Raw genomic sequence first — 26,343 nt, forward strand, 5'->3', positions numbered from 1 at the left:
TGAGAGTTGAAACAAAGAAACTTTAATGTTCTGGCTGACTATACTATGTTGATAGGCTGACAATTACTGCATCTATACTGAAAATACATAGACTCTTTTCCTTATCATGAGTCCCTAAACAATACAATAGAACAACTATTTGCATAGCTTTTACAATGCATGAGGTATTTTAAGTAATCTAGACATAATTGAGAGTATACAAGAGGATGTGGGTAAGTTACATACAAATATGTCATTTTATAAAAGGGACTGGACATGGCTCACGGAGTGCTGGAACCAATACCCAGCAGGTATCAAGGGATGACTGTACTGGAAAGAAACTGAAATTACTTAAGGTTTTACCAAGTGCTTACATTCACAGGGTCTATCTCCAATGTGTTTCGTACAAGTATCTGAAATGAAATAAAATTAATAAATGCTTTCCCACATTCCATACATTTAGAGAGAATGCTAGTGAGTCTTTTTATGTCTATGCAAGGAACTGAGAGAAGCAAATGCTTTCCCACATTCCTTACATCCATACGGGTTCTCTCCAGTGTGAGTTTTTTTCCAGTGAGTCTTTTTATGTCTATGCAAGGAACTGAGAGAAGCAAATGCTTTCCCACATTCCTTACATTCATACGGGTTCTCTCCAGTATGAGTTTTTTCATGTCCTTGAAGAAAACGGGAATGAGTGAAGGCTTTACCACATTGTTGACACTCATAGGGTTTCTCTCTCATGTGAATTCTTTCATGTCGTAGAAAGCAAGTGAGCCAAGAGAATGCTTTCCCACATTCCTTACATTCATACGGCTTCTCTCCAGAGTGAATTCTTTCATGTACTTTTAAGTTACCAAAATGACTGAAGGCTTTCTTACATGTGTTACACTCATAAGGTTTCTCTCCTGTGTGAGTCCTTCTATGTTGAGAAAGGTATTGGAAACAACTGAATGCTTTCCCACATTCCTTACACTCATATGGCTTCTCTCCAGCATGAGTTGTTTTGTGATTTTGAAAGGAATAGAAATCAATAAAGGCTTTCCCACATTTGCATTTATAGGGTTTCTCTCCAGTATGAGTTGTTTCATGCCTTCGAAGAGAACTGGAAATACGGTAGGCTTTGCCACATTGTTTACATTTATAGGGTTTCTCTGCAGTGTGAGTCTTTTCATGCCTTTGAAATACACTGGGATAAACAAAGGCTTTCCCACATATCTTGCATTTGTGAGGTCCATCTCCAGTGTGCATTGTCATGTGTCTTCGAAAGCTTGAGCTATGAGATAACGCTTTCCCACACTGCTTGCATTCATAGAGTTTCTCTCCAGTGTGAGTTCTTTCATGACTTTTCAGTGAACTAGGACAATCAAAGCCTTTTCCACATATCTTACACTTATGAGGTCCATCTCTCGTGTGCATTACCATGTGTCTTTGAAAGCTTCCCAGATGATGAAACGCTTTCCCACATTGCTGACATGCATAGGGTTTCTCATCAGTGTGAGTTGTTTCGTGTCTTCGAAGGGAAGTGGAAGCACTGAAGGCTTTCCCACATTGTTTACATGTATAGGGTTTCTTTCCAGTGTGAGTTCTTTCATGTCTTAGACAAGAACTGTAATCAGGGAAGGCTTTAGAACACTGTTTACATTCATACAGTTTCTCCCCAGTATGTGTTCTTTCATGTCTTAGATAGGAACTGTAAAAAGAAAAGGCTTTAGAACACTGCTTACATTCATATGGTTTCTCTCCAGTGTGCGTTCTCTCATGCATATGTAATAAACTGGGCCAAAAAAACGCTTTCCCACACAACTTACATTTATAAGGTCCATCTCCACGCTGCACTGCCATGTGTCTTTGAAGGTTTCCCAAAGAACTGAAGGACTTCCCACATTCTTTACAATTATATGGTTTCTTTCCAGTGTGAAGCCTCTCATGTGTTTGAAGTGAGTTGTGGTAACTGAAGGCTTTCCCACGTTGTTTATGCGTATCTGGCTTCTCTCCACATTCATGATACTCATATGGTTTGTGCCCAGCACCAACTCTGATGTAACAATTAAGGGATGAATGACCCATGATGACTTCTCCACTCATACGGCTTTCATATGGACCTACTCCAGGAAGAGTGTTCTTGGTCACAATACTATCTTGAATCTGGCTAGATGTTTCTCCACATTGAGTTCCATCTTTACTTTCAACAAATCTCTCTAACATACGACATCTGTAAAAAATGGGAAATATATCACTAAAAGTCGGTCTATAAATAATTGTATAGGTATTAATAAGTATTGGATGTACATTTTTAACACTATCATGCAAAGTGCAGGCTTCGTGTCCTGCTTGAACGTGAATGGATGGAATGCTGTGCAAGGTAACTCGACCCAGGTGTTCTCAAGACAATCACATTCATATGTGGATTCATAATATTGTTGTCATGGGAACTAATTTATGAACACTGAACAGCTATGGAACATTTAAGTATATATTTTGGAGAAAATTTTCTAAGAATAAATAAATTTAAGCTAGGCTTGTTCATTTTCTTTGCTTGTTTTTAAATTTTCATATCATTCTCAGAACGGCTCCAGGGACATATCTTTCTCTTGTGAGTATAAATTACCTTAGATTTTTCCTGGGATATCTATATTGATCTTCAATGTTCTGGTCTTTCCATTTCATTCCTAAAAGGTATACACAGAAAAATCATTACAAATTTTTACAAAATTATAGACAAACAGTAACATTTTGATGTACACTGCAATCGTTCAAAATGCATTCACTGAAGTACACCTGACTCTTGAAAAACAGAGGTTTGAACTGCACAAGTCCATTTGTATATACATATATATATGAATGTTCTTCAGTCTCTGCTACCCAAGACACTAAGACCAGCCCCTCCTCTTACTCAGCCTACTCAATGTGAAGACAATGAGAATGAAAACCTTTCTGATGATGCACTTCCACTTAATGAACAGTAAATACAGTTTCTCTTCCTTATGATTATCTTTTTAACACTTTCTGTTTCTAGCTTACTTTACTGTGAGAATATACGATGTAATAATACGACATAAAATATATGTATTAATCACTGCTTATGTGACTGATAATGCTGCCCATCAATAGTAGGCTAAGATGTGGACAAAAAGTTATATGAGGATGTACAACTGCTACAGGAGCTGGCACCCCTAAACCCTGTTTTTTTTTTTCCAGGGCCAACCATATCCCCTTTCCATATTCCAAATCTTTGAACAGCACGAATGACCAAGAAACAAATGTCTCCAATTAAATAAGTGGAAATGCGATGTCATCCTTACCTACACAATCCAGGTTCCTGATGGTTTCCTGCATCACATCTTTGTAGAGATTCTTCTGACAAGGACCCAGCAAAGCCCACTCTTCTCGGGTGAAGTTCACAGCCACATCCTCTAAAGCCACTGAGGCCTGATCCATCCCACATGTACAGAGGAGGAAGGGTGAAAATCACAGTACTGAGAATCTATACTCACTTCATAAATTTCACATGATGCTGTGGTTTCCAACCATTTTATTCAATGACATGGTAAACCCACTCTTATTCTCTGTCTACACTCACTTTCTCCTACACAGTAACTCTGAAGCTACAGTTAAACATGTTTGGTAAATTAACAGTGGGATAGAAACATGCCACTTGTTGGCGAACTGAGTGAGTGAATCACATAGCCTGGATCACCCCTAATGTTGATTTCCACAGTGGGTCTGCAGTCCTTGGCACGATAAAGTCCTACTACTTATTGTGCAAAAGGGAGTTACCATTAGCAGTGCTGAGACTGTGTGTCCTTACAAATGCTTTTTCACAAAGTTGGGCTTTTCATGGTATCTAGACAGTGTATTTAGGGGAGGGCCCCAGGAGCGTAACTAATAATAGGGGTGGAGTGTGCCTAAATTGTTTACGCAAAAAAAATACAGTATTTCCTTAACCCCATCTTCCTTCTGAGAGTTTGGAATTTTGTTACATACTCAGCACAGGGAGTGCACCTGATCAGCCACTGCTAGGTTTGAATGGTTGTCCCCTCCAAAATGCACACTGAATGTTAATCTCCAAAGTGGCAGTAAAAAAAAAAAAGTGAGGTTTAAGAGGTGATGTAGTCCTAAGGGTTTGGACCTCATGAATAGATTAATCCGTAACGGGTGAATGAATAAATGAGCTATCTCATGTCCTTCTGAGAAGAGTAAGAGATCTGAGCTAGACACTCAGCTCCCTCACCATGTGATACTCTATGCCGCCTAGGGACTCTGCAGAGTCCCCACCAGCAAGAAGGTTCTCACCAGATGCCCAGCCTTAACCTTGGACTTCCCAGCCTCCAGAAATGTAAAAATTAAATACTGTTTCTTATAAATTACCGAGGTTCAGTAATTCTGTTATGAATAACAAGAAACAGGCTAAGACAGCTACAAAGAAACACTCTGGGCATTGGGTCTATAATGAACTTTCTGGGTAGATAACATTTCACGTTTTGTTGCAACTTGTTATTTGGGGGATTTAGCCCATCCTATGTGATTATACTTACAGAGAATATTTGGAAGCTGGCAACTAGTTTCCTTTAGATCAAATGTACTGAAGTATGACAACAGACTGAGAAAAGATATTACACCACCTCAAAGGAAAAATTTTAAACATTTTGAGTAACGCCAAAGGGGAAAGAAAGAAGGGGAAAGACTGCACATATTCTTAGAAAGAACTCAGTGTCATCTCTCATGAATATTTATAATACTTACTAAGAAACTAAAACAAATCTTTTAGTAGTCAACAAAAATTACATTACCAAATCTAATAGAACTCACAGTATCTAAAAAATGCTGAAAGCCTTCTCACCAAGAAAGTGCAGCATTCCAAAAACAAATAAAGGATTTTATTTGGCACCCCGTACTATTAACAGAGAGATAAATATATATATAAAGAAAAATGAAAACTGGTAGAAAAGTCTTGTGGAGCTTTTATTTGTCCTTGGCCCAATCCCTCCCCCTATCAATACCAGTCTTGAACACAGCAGCCTGAGTTCCCGGTATAGAACCCTGGACACTAATTCTAGAGACAGCATATCAGATCTTATTTGCAAATTATTGCCTTGCATTTTCCAATCTGTATAAGGACTATCCCGAGGTCTGAAACAAAGCTGTCTTTTTTTTTTTTTTTTTTTGAGACGGAGTCTTGCTCTGTCACCCAGACTGGAGTGCAGCCACACAACCTTGGCTCACTACAACCTGACTCCCGGGTTCAAGTTATTCCACCCAGCCTCAGCCTCCTGAGTAGCTGGGAGTACAGGCATGCTCCACCACATCCGGCCAACTTTTGTATTTTTACTAGAGACGGGGTTTCACCCTGTTGGCCAGGCTGGTCTCAAACTCCTGACCTCAAATGATCCGCCTGCCTTAGCCTCCCAAAGTGCTAGGATTACAGGTGTGAGCCACAGTGCCCAGCCAAGGCCCTCTCTTCTACTTTATCTACAATACAACACGATCAGGGTCCAATTTGGCAGGAACTGCATGAAAATGTTGCAAAATACACAAAAAGCCTGTAGCCAACTGGAAGAACAGACTATGATTAAGACATACAGTAGACCAACTAAGTCATGGAGAAAAAGAGCTGAAGAGAAAATGTCCTCCAGATATCAGGGTACTCAAAAGCACCCAGGTATCCTGGGGAATTGAGAAAGCCCCATGCATGCACAGTAAAGAACACATTTTCACAAAAGACACCGGAGAAGAAACCCTCATTTTCACTTCTGGCTGATCTGTAGCTTTAAGTAAGCAGAACATAAAGCATAAGTAGAGTATTAAACAGCCTGGCTAAGTGTTCAAGGGATGCCCCAGGCACAGAGCCATCCACAAAGACTGGAAGAGGTCAGGCTTTTGTATGCTTTATCTTTTTTACTAGCTTCTAGCATTCAGGAAATCTCTGCCAGAACACTGGATGAACACACACTAAAGAACAGAGATGTCAGTTTCTACAACAAATAAGGAATACAGTCTGTGCAAACATACTTTGAAAATGTTATTAAACAAATGAACAATTACAGTCTTCAACACACATAAACAGAAAACAGTGAGGAAAGAAGAAGAATCCAATTTTCAGAATTACCCCATTATAACATTGAGATGTCTACTTTTCAACACAAAATTATGAAGAATACAGAAAAACATGAAAATATGGTTCATCAATTGGAAAAAATATAATTGAGATAAGCCATCTCTGAGAAACCTCAGACACTGCACTCACTGAATAAAAACGTTAAAACAACTATCTTAAATATGTTCAATGAAGTAAAGGCAATGATGAACAAATAACTAAAAGAAAACCAGAATACAGATATAGAGATAAAATAATATCTATTAAAAAGTAGAAATTAACTGGGCGTGGTGGCTCACGCCTGTAATCCCAGCACTTTGGGAGGCCAAGGTGTGTGGATCACCTGAGGCCAGGAGTTTGAGACCAGCCTGGCCAATGTGGTGAAACCCTATCTCTACTAAACATACAAAATTAGCTGGGCATGGTGGTGCACGCCTGTAATCCCAGCTACTTGGGAGGCTGAGGCAGAAGAATCGCTTGAACCCAGGACGTGGAGGTTGCAGTGAGCTGAGATCATGCCACTGCACTTCAGCCTGGGCAACAAGAGCGAACCTCTGTCTCAAAAAAAAAGGGGTAGAAATTTAGCCATATAGAATTTATGCAGCTGCAGGGTACAACTAAAATGAAGACATCATCACAAGTGTTCAAAAGATGTGAGCAGCCAAAAAAAAAAAATCAGTTAAAATGATGATAAACCAATTGAAATTAATCTAATGGGGAAAAAAAAAGGAATGAAATTGAGAGAATGTGTTACTGGTGTACTTGTCTTGCCAATAATGTTAAAAGAAGTTCATCAGAGAGAAGAAAAATGATACAGGTTAGAAACTCAGATCATACACACACACACACAAACACACAAATATATACATATGCATATATATGAAGAGCATTAGAAAATAATTCAATGAAGGCACAAAAATTATTTCCTTTTCTTATTCCTATTGGATATCATAAAGGTTTGTTCAAAAAATAATATCAACAATGTATTGGGTGGTTATAGTTTATAATAGGGCAAATGGATGACGGTGATGTTAAATTGGGTGGGAGGGAGGAATGCTGAACACTGGGTTATATAAGCATTACCCCAAAAGCCAGTACAGTGTTACTTAAAACTGAAGGTCCATTTGTTGTGAATGGTTTACTCCAAATGCTAGGGAAATCAATAATAAAATGTTAAGAAACAACAGCCTGTCACAGTGGCTCACCCCTGTAATGCCAACACTTTGAGATGCAAGACAGGAGGACTGCTTAAGATCAAGACTTTGAGTCCACACTCGGCAACACAATGAGACTCTGTCTCTAGGAAACGTGTAAAAAAAAAAAAAAATTAGCCAGGCGTGGTGGCCTGCACCTGTAGTCCCAGCTACTCAGGAAAGCAAGTAGGGAGGATCTCCTGAGCCCAGGAGTTGGAGGTTATAGTTAACTATGATTGCTCCACTGCACTCTAGCCTAGGTGATAGAGCAAGACCCTGTCTCAAAAAAAAAAAAAAAAAGAAAGAAAGAAAGAAACAAAGAAACAAGTAGACTTACCATACTATTAGAAGAAAATACAATCATATAGACTCCTCAGTTAAAATAAAAGGAGACAGAAAAAGGAAGTTGAAAAAAACCGACAAGTATAACAAATGTAAAACAATTATATATGTACATATGAATCCAGGTATATCAATAACCACTTTAAATGTGTATTATATGAATATACCAATAAAAGAAGACAAGGACTGACACAGTAGAAAAAAAACAAGATCCACCAATGTGTGCAAGAAAACTATTTTTTTATTCTCTCAAGAAAACTATTTTAAGTAGAAAGACACAGGTACATTAAATATAAAGGTATGAAAAAATATACTCCATTCTAGCCCTAATCAAAAGCCATATGGGGCTGGGCATGGTGGCTCATGCCTATAATCCCAGCACTTTAGGAGGCCAAAGCTGGTGGATTGCCTGAGGTCAGGAGTTGGAGACCAGCCTGGCCAATATGGCGAAACTGTCTCCACTAAAAATACGAAAGAAAAAAAAAATTAGCCAGGCATGGCGGCACGCACCTGTAGTCCCAGCTACTCGGGAGGCTGAGGCAGGAGAATCGCTTGAACGCAGGAGGCGGAGGTTGCAGTGAGCTGAGATCGTGCCACTGCACTCCAGCCTGGACAACAGAGTGAGACGCTGTCTCAAAAAAAAAAAAAAAAAAAAAAAATTGGTCTTAGCTGGAGGTGGGGGCATTGGCCTCAGGCCTCTCTGCCATAGTCAAAGCTACTCTCTTACCCTTCTATGCTTTACATGGATATTTAAAAACAAAATACTCATGTTTGATGAATCCAGGAAAATCACTCAAATTCAGTGTTTATGTCTATGGGTGGGAAGGAAATTGTAAGGCACTGATATTTTATACCTCAACAGGAAAAGCCCAAATACCTATCCCTTCCAGACAATGAATGTCATTTAATTACTATTTCCATGATAGTAAGTGATACAGTTAAAAATAATTATATTTTACTTCTTTAGCTGTTGGAAAGTCCTGTCCCACAGAATTTAGCATTCATCTGTCAAACCCATATAACAGGAACAGAACAGATTTCTCCATTGTCCCAAAATCTCCACCCTTTTAAAAAGGAGAACTGAACTTTTGTTAAATCCTTTTAATTCAATGTACCTACTACACTTTCTTGTAAAAATGTATTCCTTTTTTGCAGCCATAATGGAAGAGGGTTTTTTCCTTGGTAGTAGTTATACTACTAAGTCCTGAAATTCCATCTGAAATCATCCAAAAAACAAACACACCTGAGAAACATACTACACAAGCTCTGGGGCAAAAAAAATAAATAAAGGTTTTTAAAAAATGGAATAGAAGATTACATATACCATTTATATTCTGAAATCCAACTCTTTCTAGAATTACTTATACAATTTATTTTCTGAAGTCCAACTCTTTCCAACTTTGGGTATACTTTGTCTTCAAAGTATACAATAACAATCTCTAATCATAGGATGTATTTTAAGGTTAATCAAAAATTTAGGCTGAAAAGAGTAAACATATCTTTTCAAGCTAACAAACTCAGGAATCAGCAGTGCTGACTGGAACACAGAAAAGTCTAATGCAACAATCAGGGTGGGTCATCCTATCACCTGGGACATCCCTTAACCCTATTCTGGTCATCACCCTCCCAGGAGACACTGCCTTGTGTGCTTTTCAGGATCTTGCACTACCTCAACGGGCAGGTTCTCCAGTCCTTAGATATAACTTTCTACCTTTTAAGTCTGAGAGAGTCCAGAAGGCAAAAATCATTTCTGTTTTTTTTTCCTATGGAATATGACCATGAAATTGGCTGTTCAGTCATGTGTCTCCAAGGAATGGAAACTAGGGTTGGGAAGAAAAGGTGAGTGTCCCAGGAGTTAGCTTTTTACAGGAATTATATACCAGAAGATTCCTCCCATCCCAGTGGATCCAGTTGCTCCCCAGGGGGCCACACCCCCCATCTCAGGCTGTCCCCTGGGAGGAGTGACCCAGGGGATGATATTCACTAGACCCTCCAAGAGACTTGGCAGCTGTGGACACCCTTTTTTTTTTTTTTTTTTGAGACAGGGTCGGCCTCTGTTGCCTAGGCTGGGATGCAGAGGCACGATCATAGCTCACTGCAACTTCAAACTCCTGGGCTCCAGCCATCATCCCACCTCAGCCTCAGGAGTAGCTGCGACTACAGGTGCCAGCTACCAAGCCCAGCTAATTTTATTATTATCATTTATACTAGAGACAAGGTCTTGCCATGTTGCCCAGGCTGGTCTGGAACTACTAAGATTAAGCAATACCTCTGCCTTAGCCTCCCAAGGTGCTGGAATTACAGGAATGACCCACCGTGTTCAGGAACCCAAAATAATTCTTTCAAGAAAAAGCCATACATTGCTAGCTGAAAACAAGATGACAAACTAGTGAAATATCGCCTGGGGGCCAAACAGTTCATACCGTTGCTGTGAATTAAGGACAGAAGGTTAGCCTGGGGAAGTCTCTGGAAACCAAGAGATTTGCTGCCAGCCCTAGGAGGAGTCAGGATGAGAGAACACAGTGGTGGATTTGAGACCCTGCTAACCACATCTTTGGAAGACTCAGAGGGGAAACGGTCGCCCTTGGAAAGAAAGAAGGGACTGAGGACCACGGAGACCACAGCTCCTCCCACACACAAACCCCACACACGAGTCTGGATTCCACCTGGTGACTCGTCGTCACCGTGCAGCCTCCTCACCGGGTTCACAGGAACTGCGAGCCAGGCTGGAGGCGAGATTGCAGTTAGATATTAACCAGGTGCCCTCAGCCCCGCTGCCTCAAGGGGCCGCCTCCCTGAGAGTCAGGTCACAGCAGACGCTGACCGCCGGCTTCCCCATTGTGCCTGGGGATAAGATCTCTGAGAACTGCTCAAGAGTCGCCGGAGTTCTCAGATCCTGAATCCCAGCAAAGGCTGGCGCCAATCAGGTTGAAGTCCCAACGAGGGAGCCCATTCAGCAGAATGCGGTTTCTTCACCTCCTGTCCCAGGATTCACCCCTCACTTCCCCACCAACCAACGACCCTACACCCAGCCGCCCCCGTCCAGACCCCAAATCCCTCAGGGAGGCGGATCTGGGGTGTCCTCCCCTCTCTGGCTATTAAACTGTTTCTGCTGCAGCCCTCAGCGTCTCGGTGCAGTGAGTCGGGCCGCGAACCTGTGTTGCTTACAGCCGCACAATCTCGGGAGACGCGAGGCTGCGGGCGCGGAGCTGCCCAGAGAGGGCGCCGGGGCCGCAGTCGCCGCGCAGGAACGGGACAGGACGCCCGGGGTCCCGGCTGCATGCCCAGCCCCACCCTGCGGCCGAGGGCCGACCTACGCCAGGGGAACCCGGGTCCGTAGATCCCGGAGTAGCCCTTGGGGAGGCCCGGGTCCAGCCACAGCCGATTACTGCAGGTTCCACCCAGCCCCTCCCCCGCCTCGGGACGCCGGCCCAGCACACGCACCATTTCCCGACTTCCGCGGTGTCCCAGGTCCTCCGGACGGCTCCCGCTGCCAATGCGGGTTCCCGCGGGACACAGGCTGCCACGGAACTTCCAGGTCGTCTCTTAGCTACAGAGCCGAGCACCGAGCGCCCAGCGCAGGTGGGTGGAGAAGACGCCGCGGGCTTTTTCAACCACACACTCCTCTGGGAAGCGCGCCTGATTGACAGTTCCCACGAACCCGCCCCACGGCCCTTACTGGATACGGCGTCAGGTGCCGCCCCTCGTGGACTGATTGACAGAAGAAGCGATCTTGCACAGCTGAGTGGAGCCAGATGAGCAAGTTCCTGACACAGCCCTTGGCAGGGCGGGCTTCCTCCCTGCTCTTTGATCTGAATCCTCCCGAGGGATATTTGCACTTAAGCGGAATTTCCTGCCTGTACTCAATAGGACCTCCTGCTTCTTCCTCCTGTACACTGACTGACAAAACAATTATACTTTTTTTTTTTTTTTTTTTTTTTTTTCCGAGAGAGAGAGAGAGAGAGAGAGAGAGAGAGGGAGTCTTGCTCCGTGGCTCAGGCTAGAGTGCAATGGTGCGAGGCTCACTGCGACCTCCGCCTCCTAGGTGGGTTCAAACAATTCTGCCTCAGCCTCCCGAGTAGCTGGGATTACAGGTGCGCGCCACCACACCCGGCTAATTTTTGTATGTTTTAGTAGAGGCCGGGTTTCACCATGTTGGCCAGGCTGGTCTCGAACTCCTGACCTCGTGATCCGCCCACCTTGGCCTCCCAAAGTTCTGGGATTAGAGACGTGAGCCATCGCGCCTGGCTCCAATTATACTCTTTTTCAATGAAATTTTTCAAAATATTTCAATGTACAATTAAATTATTTTTTACTATAGTCACTCTGTTGTGCTAGCAAATACTAGGTCTTATTCATTCTTTGTAACTATTTTTTATACCTATTAACCATCCCCACTTCCCCCATAACTACTCCTCGCTACTACTTTTCCCAGCCTGTGGTAACCATCCTTCTACACGTTTTTGGTTGTTTGAGATGGGGTCTTGCTCTGTTGCCTAGGCTGGAGTGCAGTGGGGCCATCATGGCTCACTGCAACCTCTACCTCCCAAGCTCAAGCAATCCTCCCACCTCAGCCTCTCAAGTAGCTTCAGATTGTTCACTGTTGGCATATAAAAATGTTACTGATTTTTGTATGTTAATATTGTATCCTGCAACTTTACTGAATTTATTTCTCAGTTCTAATACTTTTTTGGTGGAGTCTTTAGGTATTTCCAGATATAAGATCATATTATATGCAAACCAGGATAATTTGACTTCTTCCTTTCCTTCCCAATATAGATGCCCTTTATTTCTTTTTTTTTTTTTTTTTGGACTTATTGCTCTAGCTGGGACTTCGAGTACTGTGCTGAACAACAGTGGTAAAAGTGGGCATTCTTATTGTGTTCCAGATCTTACAGGAAAGGCTTTCAGTTTTTCCTCATTCATTATCATGCTAGCTGTGGGTCTGCCATATATGGCTTTTATTATGTTAAGGTAGCTGCTTCTATACCCAGTTTTTTTTTAGGGTTTTTATCATGAAGGGATGTTAAATATTATCAAAAGCTTTTTCAGTGCACATTGAAATGATTATATGGTGTTTGCCCTTTATTCTGTTGAAATGATACATCACATTGATTGATTTGCATATATTGAACCATCCTTGCATCCCAGGGATAAAGCCCACTTGGTCATGATGAATGATCTTTTTGGTGTATTGTTAAATTCAGTTTGCTAGTATTGAGTTGAGGATTTTTGCATCAATATTCATCAGTGACACTGGCCTATAGTTTTCTTTTTCTGACATGTCTTTGTCTGGTTTTGGTGTCAAAGTAATATTGGCTTTGTAAAATAAGTTTGGAAGTATTGCCTTCTCCTCTGTTTTGGAATAGTTTGAGTAGGATTGGTATTAGTTCTTTTTTAAATGTTAGTAGAATTCAGCAGTGAAGCCACTGGGTTCTGGGGTTTTCTTTGCTAGCAGACTTTTTATTATGGCTTTGATCTCATTATTTGTTATTGGTCTGTTCAGGTTTTTTATTTCTTCATGGTTCAATGTTGCTATGTTCTATCTGCCTAGGAATTTATCAATTTCTTCTAGGTTTTCCAATTTATTGGCATATAGTTGTTCTTAGTTGCATTAATGATCCTTTGAATTTCTGCAGTATCAACTGTAATGTCTCCTTTTTCATCTCTAATTTTATTTATTTGGGCCTTTCTGTTTTTTTCTTAGTCTACCTCAAGGTTTGTCAGTTTTGTTTGTCTTTTCAAAAAACCAACTTTTTGTTTCATTGTTCTTTTCTATTGTTTCTTCATTTCAAATTCATTTATTTCTACTCTGATTTTTATTATTTCTTTTCTACTAATTTTGGGTTTGGTTTGCTCTTGCTTTTCTAATTCTTTAAAATGCATTCTTAGGTTGTTTATTTGAAGGTTTTCTTCTTCTTCTTCTTCTTCTTTTTTTTTTTGATGTGAGTTTTACTTCACTCTTGCAGCCTAGGCTGGAGTGCAATGGCGCAATCTCAGCTCACTGCCACCTCTGCCTCCTGGGTTCAAGCAATTCTCCTGCCTCAGCCTCCCAGGTAGCTGAGATTACAGGCACCCACCACCATGTCTGGTTAATTTTTTGTATTTTTAGTAGACAGGGTTCCACCATGTTGGCCAGGCTGGTCTTGAACTCCTAAGCTCAGGTGATCCACTCACCTCGGCCTCCCAAAGTGCTGGGATTACAGGTGGGAGCCACCGCACCCAGCCTGCAGGTCTTCTTCTTTTTTGATGTAGGTGCTTATATCTATAAACTTCCCTCTTAGTACTGCTTTTGCTGTATTCCATAGGTTTTGGTATGTTGCATTTTCATTATCATTTGTTTCAAGCAACTTTACAATTTCCTTCTTAATTTCTCCACTGACCAATTGGTCATTCAGAAGCAGATTATTTAATTTCCATATGTTTGTATGGTTTCCAGAATTCCTCTTGTCATTGATTTCTAGTTTATTCCATGTATTCTATGACACAATTTAAATTATTTCAATTTTTTTGGAGAGTTTTAAGACATGCTTTTTGAACTAACATATGGTCTATCCTTGAGAATGATGCATGTGCTCGGGAAAAATATGTGTATTCTGTAGCTGTTGGATAAAATGTTCTGTAAATATCTATTAGATCCATTTGATCTATAGTGTAGATTAAATCCCATTTAATCTTTCTTTTGTCTGATTTTTCAGTATATATTGAGATAATCTTTGTCGATTTACTGTCTGGAAGATCTGTCCTGTGCTGAAAACGGGGTGTTAAAATCTCCAGCTATTATTGTATTGGTCTCTCTCTCTTTTATTTTTATTTTTATTTTTTTTTGAGACAGAGTTTCACTCTTGTTGCCCACGCTGGAGCGCAATGTTGCAATCTTGGCTTACTGTAGCCTCCTCCACCTCCCAGGTTCAAGCAGTTCTCCTGCCTGCTGGGATTACAGGCGTGAGCCACCATGCCCGGCCCTCAGTGCCAGTCTTAAAGACAGCAGCCCGAGATCCCAGTATAAAATCCTACTCACTCAATTATCACCTTTGTATTTTCGAATTGGTATGGGGACTTTCCAAAGGTCTGAAACAAGGCTCTCTGTTCTATATCATCTACAATAACTCAGTCCCTGTCAAATTTGGCAGGAATTGCCTAAAAATGTTGTAAAATACATCAAAAGCCTGCAACCACCTGGTAAAACGGATTATGATTATGACATACCATCTCTGATGGTTAATACTGAGTGTCAACTTGATTGGATTGAAGGATACAAAGTATTGATCCTGGGTGCCTCTGTGAGGGTGCTGCCAAAAGAGATTAACATTTGAGTCCCTGGGCTGGGGAAGACAGATCCACCATTAATCTGGTGGGCACAATCTAATCAGCTGCCAGCGAATATAAAGCAGGCAGAAAAACATGAAAAGGAGAGACTGGCCTAGCCTCCCAGCCTACATCTTTCTCCCATGCTGGATGCTTCCTGCCCTCGAACATCAGACTCCAAGTTCTTCAGTTTTGGGGCTTGGACTGGCTCTCCTTGCTCCTCAGTTTGCAGACAGCCTATTGTGGGACCTTGTGATTGTCTAAGTTAATATTTAATAAACTCCCATTTATATATATATATATATCCTATTAGTTCTGTCCCTCCAGAGAACCCTGACTAATACACCATCTAAATCCTGGGGGAAAAAAGTTGGAGAGAAAATTTCCTCTAGTAAACTAGGGTACTCAAAAGCACTCAGGTATACTGGGGAATTGAGAAAGCCCCATGCATGCACAGGAAAGAACACATTTTCACAAAACACATGATAAAACCCTAATTTTCAGCTCTGGCTGATCCCTAGGTTTAATTAAACAGAAAATAAATGCTAAAGTAGGATTTTAAACAGCCTGACTGTGTTTTCAAGGAATGCCCCAGTACAGAGCCATCCACAAAGACTGAAAGAGGTAAGGTTTTTGTTTGTTTCATCTTCTTCTTTACTTTTAGCTTCTAACATTCCAGAAATCTGTCAGAACACTGAATGAACACAGAGGAATAGACATCAGTGTCTACAATGAATAGGGACTACAGTCTCTGCAAACACAGTTTGAAAATGTTACTAAACAAATTACAGCCTTCAACAAACATAAATAGCAAAGAGTAAGCATAATTTTGTTTTGATACAAACAAAATTATGAAGAATACAGAGAAACATGAAAATGTGGCTCATTGATGGAAAAAGTTTAATTGACATAGTTCATCTCTGAGAAACCTGACACTGGACTTACTGAATTAAAACTTTAGAGCCGAGCGCGATGGCTCATACCTGTAATCCCAGCACTTTGGGAGGCCGAGGGGGGCAGATCACAAGGTCAAGCGATTGAGATCATCCTGGCCAACACGGTGAAACCCCATCTCTACTAAAAATACAAAAATTAGCTGGGTGTAGTGGCATGCGCCTGTATACCCAGCTACTCGGGAGGCTGAGGCAGAATCGCTTGAACCCGGGAAGCGGAGGTTGCAGTGAGCCAAGATTACGCCACTGCACTAATGTCTGGTGACAGAGTTGGACTCTGTCTCAAAAAAAAAAAAAAAAAGAAAAAAAAAAAGGCCCGGCGCGGTGGCTCACGCCTGTAATCCCAGAACTTTGGGAAGCCGAGGCAGGCGGATCACGAGGTCAGGAAATCGAGACCATTCTGGCTAACACGGTGAAACCCCATCTCTACTAAAAATACAAAAAAAAAAAATAGCCGGGCATGGTGGCAGGCGCCTGTAGTCCCAGCTACTTGGGAGGCTGAGGCAGGAGAATGGCGTGAACCTGGGAGGCGGAGCTTGCAGTGAGCCGAGATCGCGCCACTGGACTCCAGCCTGGGCAACAGAGTGAGACTCCGTCTCAAAAAAAAAAAACCAAAAAACTTTAAAATAACCGTCTCAAATATGTTCAACAAGGTAAAAGCAATGATGAATAAAGAACTAAAAGAAAACCAGAAAACAGATGTAGGGATAAAATAATATTAATTAAAAAGTAGAGGCCTGGCGCGGTGGCTCATGCCTGTAATCCCAGTACTTTGGGAGGCCAAAGTGGGCGAATCACGAGGTCAGGAGATCGAGACCATCCTGGCTAGCATGATGAAACCCCGTCTCTACTAAAAATACAAAAAATTAGCTGGACATGGTGGCGGGCGCCTGTAGTCCCAGCTACTGGGGAGGCTGAGGCAGGAGAATGGCGTGAACCCCGGAGGCGGAGCTTGCAGTGAGCGGAGATCGCGTCACTGCACTCCAGCCTGGGCGACAAAGCGAGACTTCTTCTCAAAAAAAATAAAATTAAATTAAAAAAGTAGATATTGAGCCATATAGCATTTATGCAGGTGCAAGATACGACAACTAAAATGAAAACATCACTACAGGTGTTCAACAGTTGTGACTAACTAAAGAAAAACATCTAAAATGAAGACAAAACAACTAAAATTACCCAGTCTGAGAGAGGAAAAAAGGAACAAGGATGAGAGAATGTGTGACTGGTATACCTGCCTTGCCAGTAATGTCAAAAGAAGTTCATCAGAGTGAAGAAAAAGGATACAAGTTAGAAATTTGGGCTGGCTCAGTGGCTCATGCCTATAATTCCGGCACTTTGGAAGACCCAAATGGTAGGATTGCTGGAGCCCAGGAGTTCAAGGCCAGCCTGGGCAACATGGTGAAACTCCATCTCTATAAAAAATAAAAAATTAGCCAGGCATGGTGGTGCACATCTGTGATACAGGCTACTTGGAAGGCTAAGACAGGAGGTTAACTTCAGCCCAGGAGATGGAGGCTGCAGTTAGCTATATTCCTGTCACTGCACTCCAGCCTGAGTAACAAAGCAAGACCCTATCTAAAAAAAAAAAGAGAGAGAGAGAGAAAAAAAAAGAACTAGAACAAATTCTGGTCACACACACACAAACATATATACACAAATACATACAAACATACATATGCAAACTACATAAAATATATGAAAAGAATTAAATGAAGGCACAAGAAAACTCTTTCCTTTTCTAGTTCCTATCTGATGTAATAGATGTTTGTTCAAACTAATAATATCAACAATGTATTGGGTAGTTTAGCTTATAATAGGGCCAATGAATGACAGTGATGTTATCTGGGATACGAGGGAGGAATTTGGAACACTCTGTTATACAGGCACTATACCAGAAGCCAGTATGATGCTTTGTAAAACTAAAGGTCCATTCATTGTGAATGGAATACTCAAACTCTAGGGAATTTACTGGTAAAATTTAAGAAACAATAGCTAGTTGGGTAGCTCATGTGTGTAATCCCAGGACCTTTAGGAGGCCAAGGTGGGAGGATTACTTGAGCCCAGAAGTTCAAGACCAGCATCAGCAACATAGTGAAACCCTGTCTCTATAAAAATTTTAAAAATATCTTGGGCATGGTGGCACAAACTGTAGTCACAGCTACTCGGGAGGCTGAGGCAGTGGGATCTTGAGCCCAGGAGTTTGAGATCACAGTCAGCTATGATTGTGCCACTGCACTCCAGCATGTATGAGAGACCCTGTCTCAAAAACAAAAAAGATTCTGTCTCAAAAGAAAAGAAAAGAAAAGAAAATGAAACAAGTAGTATAGTATAATAAGTCTACTTACTCTACTTCCATTTTCATAAAATTTCATTTCACATAGTAATAGATTTACTATACTAATAGAAGAAAGAAAGAAAATGGAATCATATTAAATGCTCAGTTGGAAGGAAAGGAGGCAGAAAAAAAGAAGTTGAAAAAACAGACAAACATAACACAATTACATATGTACGTAGTAATCCAACTATATCAATTGCCATTTAAACATGTATTATCTATAGATACCAATATAAAACAAAGATTGATAGAGTAGAAGGAAAAAACAAGACCCATGAATGTATAAAGAAAACTATTTTAAATAGAAAGACACAGATACATTAAATACAATGGTATAAAGAAATATATGCCATTTTAGCCCTAATCAAAAGGAATATGGAACAGGCTACATTAGACTCAGATAAATCAGGTTGTAGATCAAGGAAAATTACAAGAGATAGAGATATTTCATAATGATAAAGTGCTCAATCCTAGAGACATAATAATCCTTGATATGTATGTCCAGAAAATAGAGCATCAAAATGCATAAGGTGGCTGGGTGTGGTGGCTCACGCCTGTCATCCCAGCACTATGGAAGGCCGAGGTGGGTGGATCACCTGAGGTCGGGAGTTCAAGACCAGTGTGGCCAACATAGTGAAACCCCATCTCTACTAAAAATACAAAAAATTAGCTGGGCGTGGTGGCAGGTACCTGTAATCCCAGCTACTCGGGAGGCTGAGGCAGGAGAATCACTTGCACTCAGGAGGCAGAGGTTGCAGTGAGCCGAGATCGCGCCATTGCACTCCAGCCTGGGCAATAATTGTGAAACTCCACCTCAAGAAAAAAAAAAAATGCATAAGGCAGCAGTCCCCAACCTTTTTGGCGCCAGGGACTGGTTTTGTGGAAGACAATTTTCCCATGGAATTGCGCTGTAGGGGAATGGTTTCTGATGAAACTGTTCCACCTCACATCATCAGGCATTAGATTCTCATAAGGAACGCACAACCTAGATCCCCTTGCATGTGCAGTTCACAACAGGGTTCGCGCTCCTATGAGAATCTAATACCGCCACTGGTTTGACAGCATGTGCAGGCGGTAATGCTTACTGCCTGCCGCTCATCTCCTGCTGTGCCACCCGGTTCCTAACCAGCTACAGACCAGTACTGGTCCACAGCCTGGAGGCTGGCAACTCCTGGCATACGGCATAAATTTATAAAACTGCAAGGCAAATACACAAATCCATAATTATAGTTGAAGGAGAACAATTCCCCTCTATCAATAATTGATCAATTGAGTAGAAAAATCACTAAGGACATAGCTGAACTCAACAGCATCATTAATCAACTGGATTTAATTCATATGTATTTATAGAATACTTCACTCAACACCAGAGTACACATTCTTCTCCAAACTACATAACATATTCACCAGGATGGACTATATTCTGAGCCATAAAACCTACCTTAACAAATTTAAAATAGATATTCTGTAAAGTATGCAATCTAACCATATTAGAATTAATCTAGAAACCAGTAACAGAAACACAGTTGAAAATCTTCCAGAAAGTCGACATTTGAACAACAAACATCCAAAATACATGAAAGACAAACCGAACTGTCAAGAGAAATTTAAATATTCTGAAGTTGATGAGAAAACTATATCTTAGGGCCAGGCACAGTGGCTCACGCCCATAATCCCAGCACTTTAGAAGGCCAAGGTGGGTGAATCACTTGAGGTCAGGAGTTGGAGACCAGCCTGGCCAACATGGCAAAACCCTGTCTCTACTAAAAATACAAAAAATTATCTGGGCATGGTGGTGCACACCTGTAGTCCTAGATACTCGGGAAGCTGAGGCAGGAAAATTGCTTAAACCCGGGAGGTGGAAGTTGCAGTGAGCTGAAATCATGCTACTGCACTCCACCCTGGGCAACAGAGTGAGACTGTGTCTCAAAAAACAAACAAACAAATATATATATATACATACATACATACATACATACATATACACATACATATATATACATATGTGTCTGTGTATATATCAATGTCTGTGTGCATATATATATATATATATATATATATATATATATATATATATATCTTAGCCAAAAACACTTTTCATAGAGATGAGATCTATATTCCCCAGGCTGGTCTCAAATTCCTGGGCTCAAGTGATCCTACCACCTTGGCCTCCCAAAGTGTTGGGATTACAAGCATGAACCATAATGCCCAGCCTTAGCGAAATGTTTGAAATGTAGCAAAGGCAGTGTTTACAGGGAAATTCAAAGAATTGAATGCAAACTCTGGAAAATAAAGATCTAAAATCAATGCTCCATTTTGAGAAACTAAAGTTCCATTTTGAGAAACTAAAGAAAGAACTCCAAGATAAATCACTCAGAGGAAAATTACAATGAGAATATATTAATGAAATTGCAAACAAGATATCAATTAAAAACATCAATAAAATCAAGAGCTAGTTCTTTAAAAAGACCAAGAACATTGCTAAACCCACAGCCAAGCCAACTCAGAAAAAAAAAGGGGGCCATCACTACTATTCCTATGCACATTAAAGTGACCATAAGGGACTATTCAGAGCAATTGCATGTCTACAGATTTGTTTAATTACATGAATGGGCCAATTCCCTGAAAGACAAAATCTACCAAAACTCACAAAATTAGACCCATGTAATACGAACGGGCATAATCTATTTAAAAATTGGAATCACTAAATAACAAATGTCCCAAGAAAAAGGAACCAGACCAGGATGGTTTCACTGGTGAACTCTGGCAAACACTTATGGAAGAAATGACACCAATTTTCTACAATCTCTTCTGAAAAAGAGAAGCAGAGAGAAATCATGTTATAAGGCCAACATTGCCCTTGCACTGCAACTAGACAGATGATACAGACATATCTCCGCCATGTAAGAATATAAAAGGAAGACTGCTATCTGCAAACCAAGAAGCAGGCCCTTACTAGAGACTTCATCTGCTTGAACTTGGAAACCCAGCCTCTACATCTTTGAGAAATGTTTGTTGTTTATGGTATGCAGCCTGTGGTAATCTGTTATAATAGCTTGAGGTGACCACACATCAAGGCTTTGAAGTCTATAGTAATGAGGAGAGTATGGTATTAACCACAATGACTAAAAGAGAAACCAATGGAAAATAGCCAATTCTAAAACAAGATCACCAATTTAAGACACAAGAACCTATGACATGCAGGTATTAGCAGGCAACGATATAAATGGGAGACACTTCAACACAAAAGACAGGGACAAATGGTTATCTTCAAGAGAAAAATCAATTTTCTGCTCATCATCTTCACATACAATAATCAACTCACTATACACCTACCTGTTTTGTGAATTCTTATTCACTTGATATTGCCCCAGTTTCCATTTTGGTTTTTCGTTTTTGTTTTTTTTGAGGCAGACTCTCACTCACTCTGTTGTCCAGGCTGGAGTGCAGTGGCTCGATCTCAGCTCACTGCAACCTCCACCTCCCAGGTTCAAGCAATTTTCCTGCCTCAGACTCCTGAGCAGCTGGGACTACAGATGCGCACCACCACACCCCGCTAATTTTTGTATTTTTAGTAGATACAGGGTTTTACCATGTTGGTCAGGCTGGTATCGAACTCCTGGTCTCAAGTGATCTGCCAGCCTCAGCCTCCCAAAGTGCTAAGATTACAGGCATGAGCCACTGTGCCCAGCCCAGCTTCCATTTTGAATTTGCTTTGAACACTCTCCAAGCAGAAAATGGGTTTGTAATCTCAGATACACTTTCTTGTTCTCTACCTCCTCCTCCTTCCTCAATGTGGTTGATCCAGATATCTCCCTTACGTAACCATCTTTCTGTCACCATGTCCCTATGGGACAGCTAAATACAACTTGCCTGACTCACCCCCCACAGCCCACATGGACTGCAGACATGTGTAGCAGTGACCACCTCTCAGTCAAAGCTGGACTCTGGGGAACTTGCGCATACTTCCTTTTAAACACACCAATTAGAACTCCCCAAGAGAAGCCTGGTTGGGTAACCCCTGGGCCCCAATAAAGGCTTCAGCTCATGAGTCCCCCTCCCTCTCTTGTTCCGCACATACTGGTCAAGTGTCCATGTAACTCAAGACCGCTAACTCTTGGTCTTCAAGGCATGCTAATCTCTTCTGTCTAGGATGTCTATGTAAATGCACTGTTTCTATTATTTCCTGTATTTTGTTGAGTTGCCTTTTCTATGTCGCACCTGACCAACACATCTGAACCTAAGTTCTATCCAGATCAAAGCTCTCTTTGTAGGATTGTCTTGGCTGCGGCTGTCTTGGTAGAAATAAAATAAAAATTTGTCAGAAAAAAAAAAAACCCACGAAATGTCAGCAAAAACAAGTGTTCTTGAAGAGGAACACTTGGTCACTAGTCTGACATTTAGGCATTATTAGGCCCCGACCAGGAAAAAGAAAAACCTAAAGGGTCACATTTGGCTGGCTTCCAAATTAATCTACCTGGGGGAGGTCTTCTGATCCACGGCCCACATCCTGTCCCTGAGTAAACAATCTTATCCTGGGCTGGGGGTGGTGGTTCACGCCTGTAATCCTAGCACTTTGGGAGGCCAAGGCAGGCAGATCACCTGAGGCCGGGAGTTTGAGACCAGCCTGACCAACATGGAGAAACCCTATCTCTACTAAAAATAGAAAATTAGCCAGGCATGGTGGTGCGTGCCTGCCTACTCGGGAGGCTGAGGCAGGAGAATCGCTTGAACCCGGGAGGCAGAGGTGATGGTGAGCGGAGGCTATGGTGAGCCGAGATCACACCATTGCACTGCAGCATGGGCCATAGAGCAAGACTCCGTCTCCAAAAAAAAAAAAAAAAAAAAAGAATCTTATCCTGAGTCCCTCAAATCATATTGTGAGTTCTTCAAACTGCTGATGCTCTCATTAACATGTAACCTACTGACATCAAAAAGGATCCTGATTCGTTTCTAAATCATGAAGTTTTCCTGATTGTCTTCCATGTAGAACCTTTTAGCCTGTATGTTGTCATGTGTAACCAATGTTTATAACCTCTGAATTGTACCCTCCAATGAAAAGGACAATTCACCAATGAGGAGTCCCCCTCCCTTCTCCTAAAGGTTCTTAGGAAAGCGTCTGATTTGTAATGGAGGTTGGAACACATCCAAATTTGCTGGTGTGTCTTCCTGGGTCAATCCTCAAATTTGACCAGTAAACCTACATAAAATGACTTCTACCTCAATAGCCTTAATTTAGGTCAACAGAAGGCTCTCAGAAAGGCACAATTTCAGAAAATGAAAGCCCACAAGGGAAAAATGTTCTGCACCAATGCTAATCAGTAAAAACCAATATATACTCATATGGAGATAAATAAAAGATAAGTCTTTGTAAGGAATAAACACACACATGCGTACACGGTCAGACAGGTAATGTACACATGCCATTAGAATTTCTTAGAAAACTTAAATTCATCCATAATCTACGACCAGTAGTGGGAATATTGAGGAGAGAAAGTTACCCCCTGGGGAAGGCTCTGGAAACCAAGGGACTTACTGTGACCCCTATAAAGAGTTAGGTTGAGGAGACAGGACGGTGGATTAGACAGGATGGTGGACTTCAGACTCTGCTGTCCAGGGGAAGGGTCCGCAGACCGGGTAGTCGCCCGTAGGGAAGTCTGGGTCCTGCCCCAGCTGGTAACAGCTGGTTCCAACCAACCCCTCCTCCCGTCTCCGGACCCCTAGGCCGTGCACACGCACCATTTCCTGGCTTCCACGGTGTCCCGGGGTCTTCTCTACGGCTCCTGCGGCCTGTGCGGGTCCCAGTGTGCCAGAGGCTGCCACAGAACTTTCAGGGCGTCTCTTAGCAACAGAGCTGGGAACCAAGCGCAAGGAGTGGAGAAGATGCCCTGGGCTCTTGGAACCTCACAGCCTCCTCGCGGCAGCTCCCTTATTCACAGTTCTCACGACCCCACCCCACGTCCCTGATTGAGTAGTGTACCATGTCCTGCCCCCTGGGGAACTCAGTGACAGAAGAAGGTATCTCTTGGTGCTGAGTGGAGGCAGAAAAACAGGTTCCAGACCCAGACCCTCACAGAGCGATCTTCTTGCCTAGTGGTTCCTAGTGCTGTGACCTTATCCCGCCCCTGGGGACATTTGCATGTGGGCATAATTTCCCACCTGTACTCAATGAGCTCTTACTACCTCTTCCCCTGGACAGATCACAAGTCTGTGCTGGGAATCCCAGACCACTGTCCAGTGGAGCCATCCCCTAGCCTCAGAGCAGGAGGGGAGCCCAAGCCACACAGGCCACCCTGCAGCAGGAGGGAAGGCCTGATATCCTCCAGGGATCAGGAATTTCAGATGGGGCTGCTGGCGACATGGCCAAGCCTTTCTCCCACCTTATCTCTCAATCTACTCATTTTCAGCTCATAAAAGCACATCAACAATGAAATAAAACTGTTACATGCATGGAAAAACTGGAATTATAAGGCAACAGTCTTCTATAAAGGAATCAAAAGAGAAGAAAGGAAGAAACATGAACTAGCTCAAAGCAGCAGCCTGCTGAACCCACAGTTCACAAGCAAACTCCCTTTCAGGAGGTCAAACAGATTCCCAAGCTTAGGAGCCAAACTCTGACTCCTGAAACAATCTAGTGATGAGGCAGGGACATGGAAGCATTTAACTTTTGGCACTCAACTCGCCCTCCTATCCTGCTTGCACACTGTGGAAACACTCCTTTCTTCAACACTTTAAATGTTAACGAATTAAACGCTCCAATCAAAACCTGAAACATTAGACTTTGAATCTGAAAACATGAGTTTTGCCATGTTTTTAAGGACCAGACATAAAAGCATTGTGAGGCCAGGCGCAGTGGCTCATGCCTGTAATCCTACCTAGCACTACGGGAGGCTGAGGCGGGCGGATCAGCTGAAGTCAGGAGTTCGAGACCAGCCTGGCCAACATGGTGAAACCCTGTCTCTACTAAAAATATAAAAATTAGCTGGGCGTGGTGGCACGTGCCTGTAATCCCAGCTTCCCGGGAGGCTGAGGCAGGAGAATCGCTGGAATCCAGGAGGTGGAGGCTGAAGTGAGCTGAGACTGTGCCATTGCACTCCAGCCTGGTGACAAAGCGAGACTCCACCTCAAAAAAGAAAAAGCATCATCAACTGAAAGGTGGAATCCATTGCTAAAAGAAAGGAACCAAACATGAGGTGTCATCAGATTAAATGAAATCTTCTATTTTTAAAAACTGTAGCTTTTCCTGACAGGGAAAATGGGCATGTTTGGCAAATAAGAAATAAATGATGTCTGATTATAACTCATCAACAAATAATTTTCATGTCTTAAAAAATGACATACACACACACAGTCTATTATCACAAGATTTTGTTCCCTCCTTGAAGGATAAACTACTGCTCTGCAAGATGCTCCACCCTTCACTCCTCACATTAACTGCTGCTAGCATATTTATTTGTTCCAAAACAGGTATAAAAAGAGGGTTCAGTGTGTCAAACTACATGATTGTTAGAGGTTTATGTACAGATTTTGTATATTTTTACAAACTGCACCAGTTAAGTAGTTGATTTATGTTGTTTTTGTTTTTTGTTTGTTTTTAGACAGAGTCTCACTCTGTTGCCCAGGCTAGAGTGCAGTGGTGCAATTTCGGTTCACTGCAACCTCCGCCTCCCAGGTTCAAGCGATTCCCCTGCTTCAGTCTCCCAGGTAGCTGGGATTACAGGCATGCATCACCACTCCCGGCTAATTGTTTTTTGTTTTTAGTAAAGACGGGGTTTTGCCATGTTGGCCAGGCTGGTCTCGAACTCCTGACCTCAAGTGATCTGCCTGCCTTGGCCTCCCAAAGTGCTGAGATTACAGGCATGAGCCACTGTGCCCAGCCTACTGTGTTGATTCTTACAAAAGCTCTAGTACAAAAATAAATGTTCACGTTACCATGATGAAAAACTCAGGAATGGTGACTCCTCGATTCCTCTGAAAAACAATTTTTTTTAACCCTAAGAGAAGCTAGGAAGTCTACAGTAAATGGCTGGAGGTGATCCCTGAGAGAACACATTTTAGTGGAAAAGGTCACTCATGGAAAATACCAAAATTTATATGTAGCAGTTTAAATATACTACAGGAAACACTGCGATTACATTC

General features: G+C 41.9%; 1 protein-coding gene across 5 annotated transcripts, besides 4 other annotated features; it reads right to left on the minus strand.

Annotated features, from left to right (window-relative positions):
- On the minus strand, positions 1 to 25,069 carry ZNF799 (zinc finger protein 799). Of its 5 annotated transcripts, NM_001322498.2 has the most exons (5): positions 11,053 to 11,256; positions 8,119 to 8,236; positions 3,282 to 3,408; positions 2,588 to 2,648; positions 1 to 2,191 (listed from the first exon to the last, which is right to left on the minus strand). In NM_001322498.2, the coding sequence occupies exons 3-5, from the start codon at positions 3,313 to 3,315 to the stop codon at positions 451 to 453; spliced, it is 1,836 nt and encodes a 611-aa protein (NP_001309427.1). In that variant the 5' UTR covers positions 3,316 to 3,408; positions 8,119 to 8,236; positions 11,053 to 11,256; the 3' UTR covers positions 1 to 450. The 5 variants fall into 5 exon arrangements, with proteins under 5 accessions (NP_001309427.1, XP_047295605.1, NP_001074290.1 ...); XM_047439649.1 differs by lacking the exons at positions 8,119 to 8,236; positions 11,053 to 11,256 and adding an exon at positions 23,944 to 25,069; NM_001080821.3 differs by lacking the exon at positions 8,119 to 8,236.
- Positions 348 to 849: an enhancer, noted in NCBI's record as "NANOG hESC enhancer chr19:12501177-12501678 (GRCh37/hg19 assembly coordinates)". NCBI's record gives its function as "activates a minimal SCP1, AML or CMV promoter by ChIP-STARR-seq in primed H9 embryonic stem cells {active_cell/tissue: H9 hESC(primed)}" and the evidence as "EXISTENCE:reporter gene assay evidence [ECO:0000049][PMID:30033119]".
- Positions 10,551 to 10,640: an enhancer, noted in NCBI's record as "active region_14053". NCBI's record gives its function as "activates an Ori minimal core promoter by ATAC-STARR-seq in GM12878 lymphoblastoid cells {active_cell/tissue: GM12878}" and the evidence as "EXISTENCE:reporter gene assay evidence [ECO:0000049][PMID:35858748]".
- Positions 10,871 to 11,030: a silencer, noted in NCBI's record as "silent region_10149". NCBI's record gives its function as "represses an Ori minimal core promoter by ATAC-STARR-seq in GM12878 lymphoblastoid cells {active_cell/tissue: GM12878}" and the evidence as "EXISTENCE:reporter gene assay evidence [ECO:0000049][PMID:35858748]".
- Positions 11,361 to 11,410: an enhancer, noted in NCBI's record as "active region_14054". NCBI's record gives its function as "activates an Ori minimal core promoter by ATAC-STARR-seq in GM12878 lymphoblastoid cells {active_cell/tissue: GM12878}" and the evidence as "EXISTENCE:reporter gene assay evidence [ECO:0000049][PMID:35858748]".
- Positions 25,070 to 26,343: the final 1,274 nt, after the last annotated feature.

The sequence above is a fragment of the Homo sapiens genome, chromosome 19, assembly GCF_000001405.40.
Source record: "Homo sapiens chromosome 19, GRCh38.p14 Primary Assembly".
Lineage (NCBI taxonomy): Eukaryota > Metazoa > Chordata > Mammalia > Primates > Hominidae > Homo > Homo sapiens.

Coding starts and splice junctions, on each gene's coding strand:
- ZNF799 (XM_047439649.1), bottom strand. Junction 2,649..3,281: donor CAGGAACCTGGATTGTGTAG/GTAAGGATGACA, acceptor TATACCTTTTAG/GAATGAAATGGAAAGACCAG. Junction 2,192..2,587: donor TATCCCAGGAAAAATCTAAG/GTAATTTATACT, acceptor CATTTTTTACAG/ATGTCGTATGTTAGAGAGAT.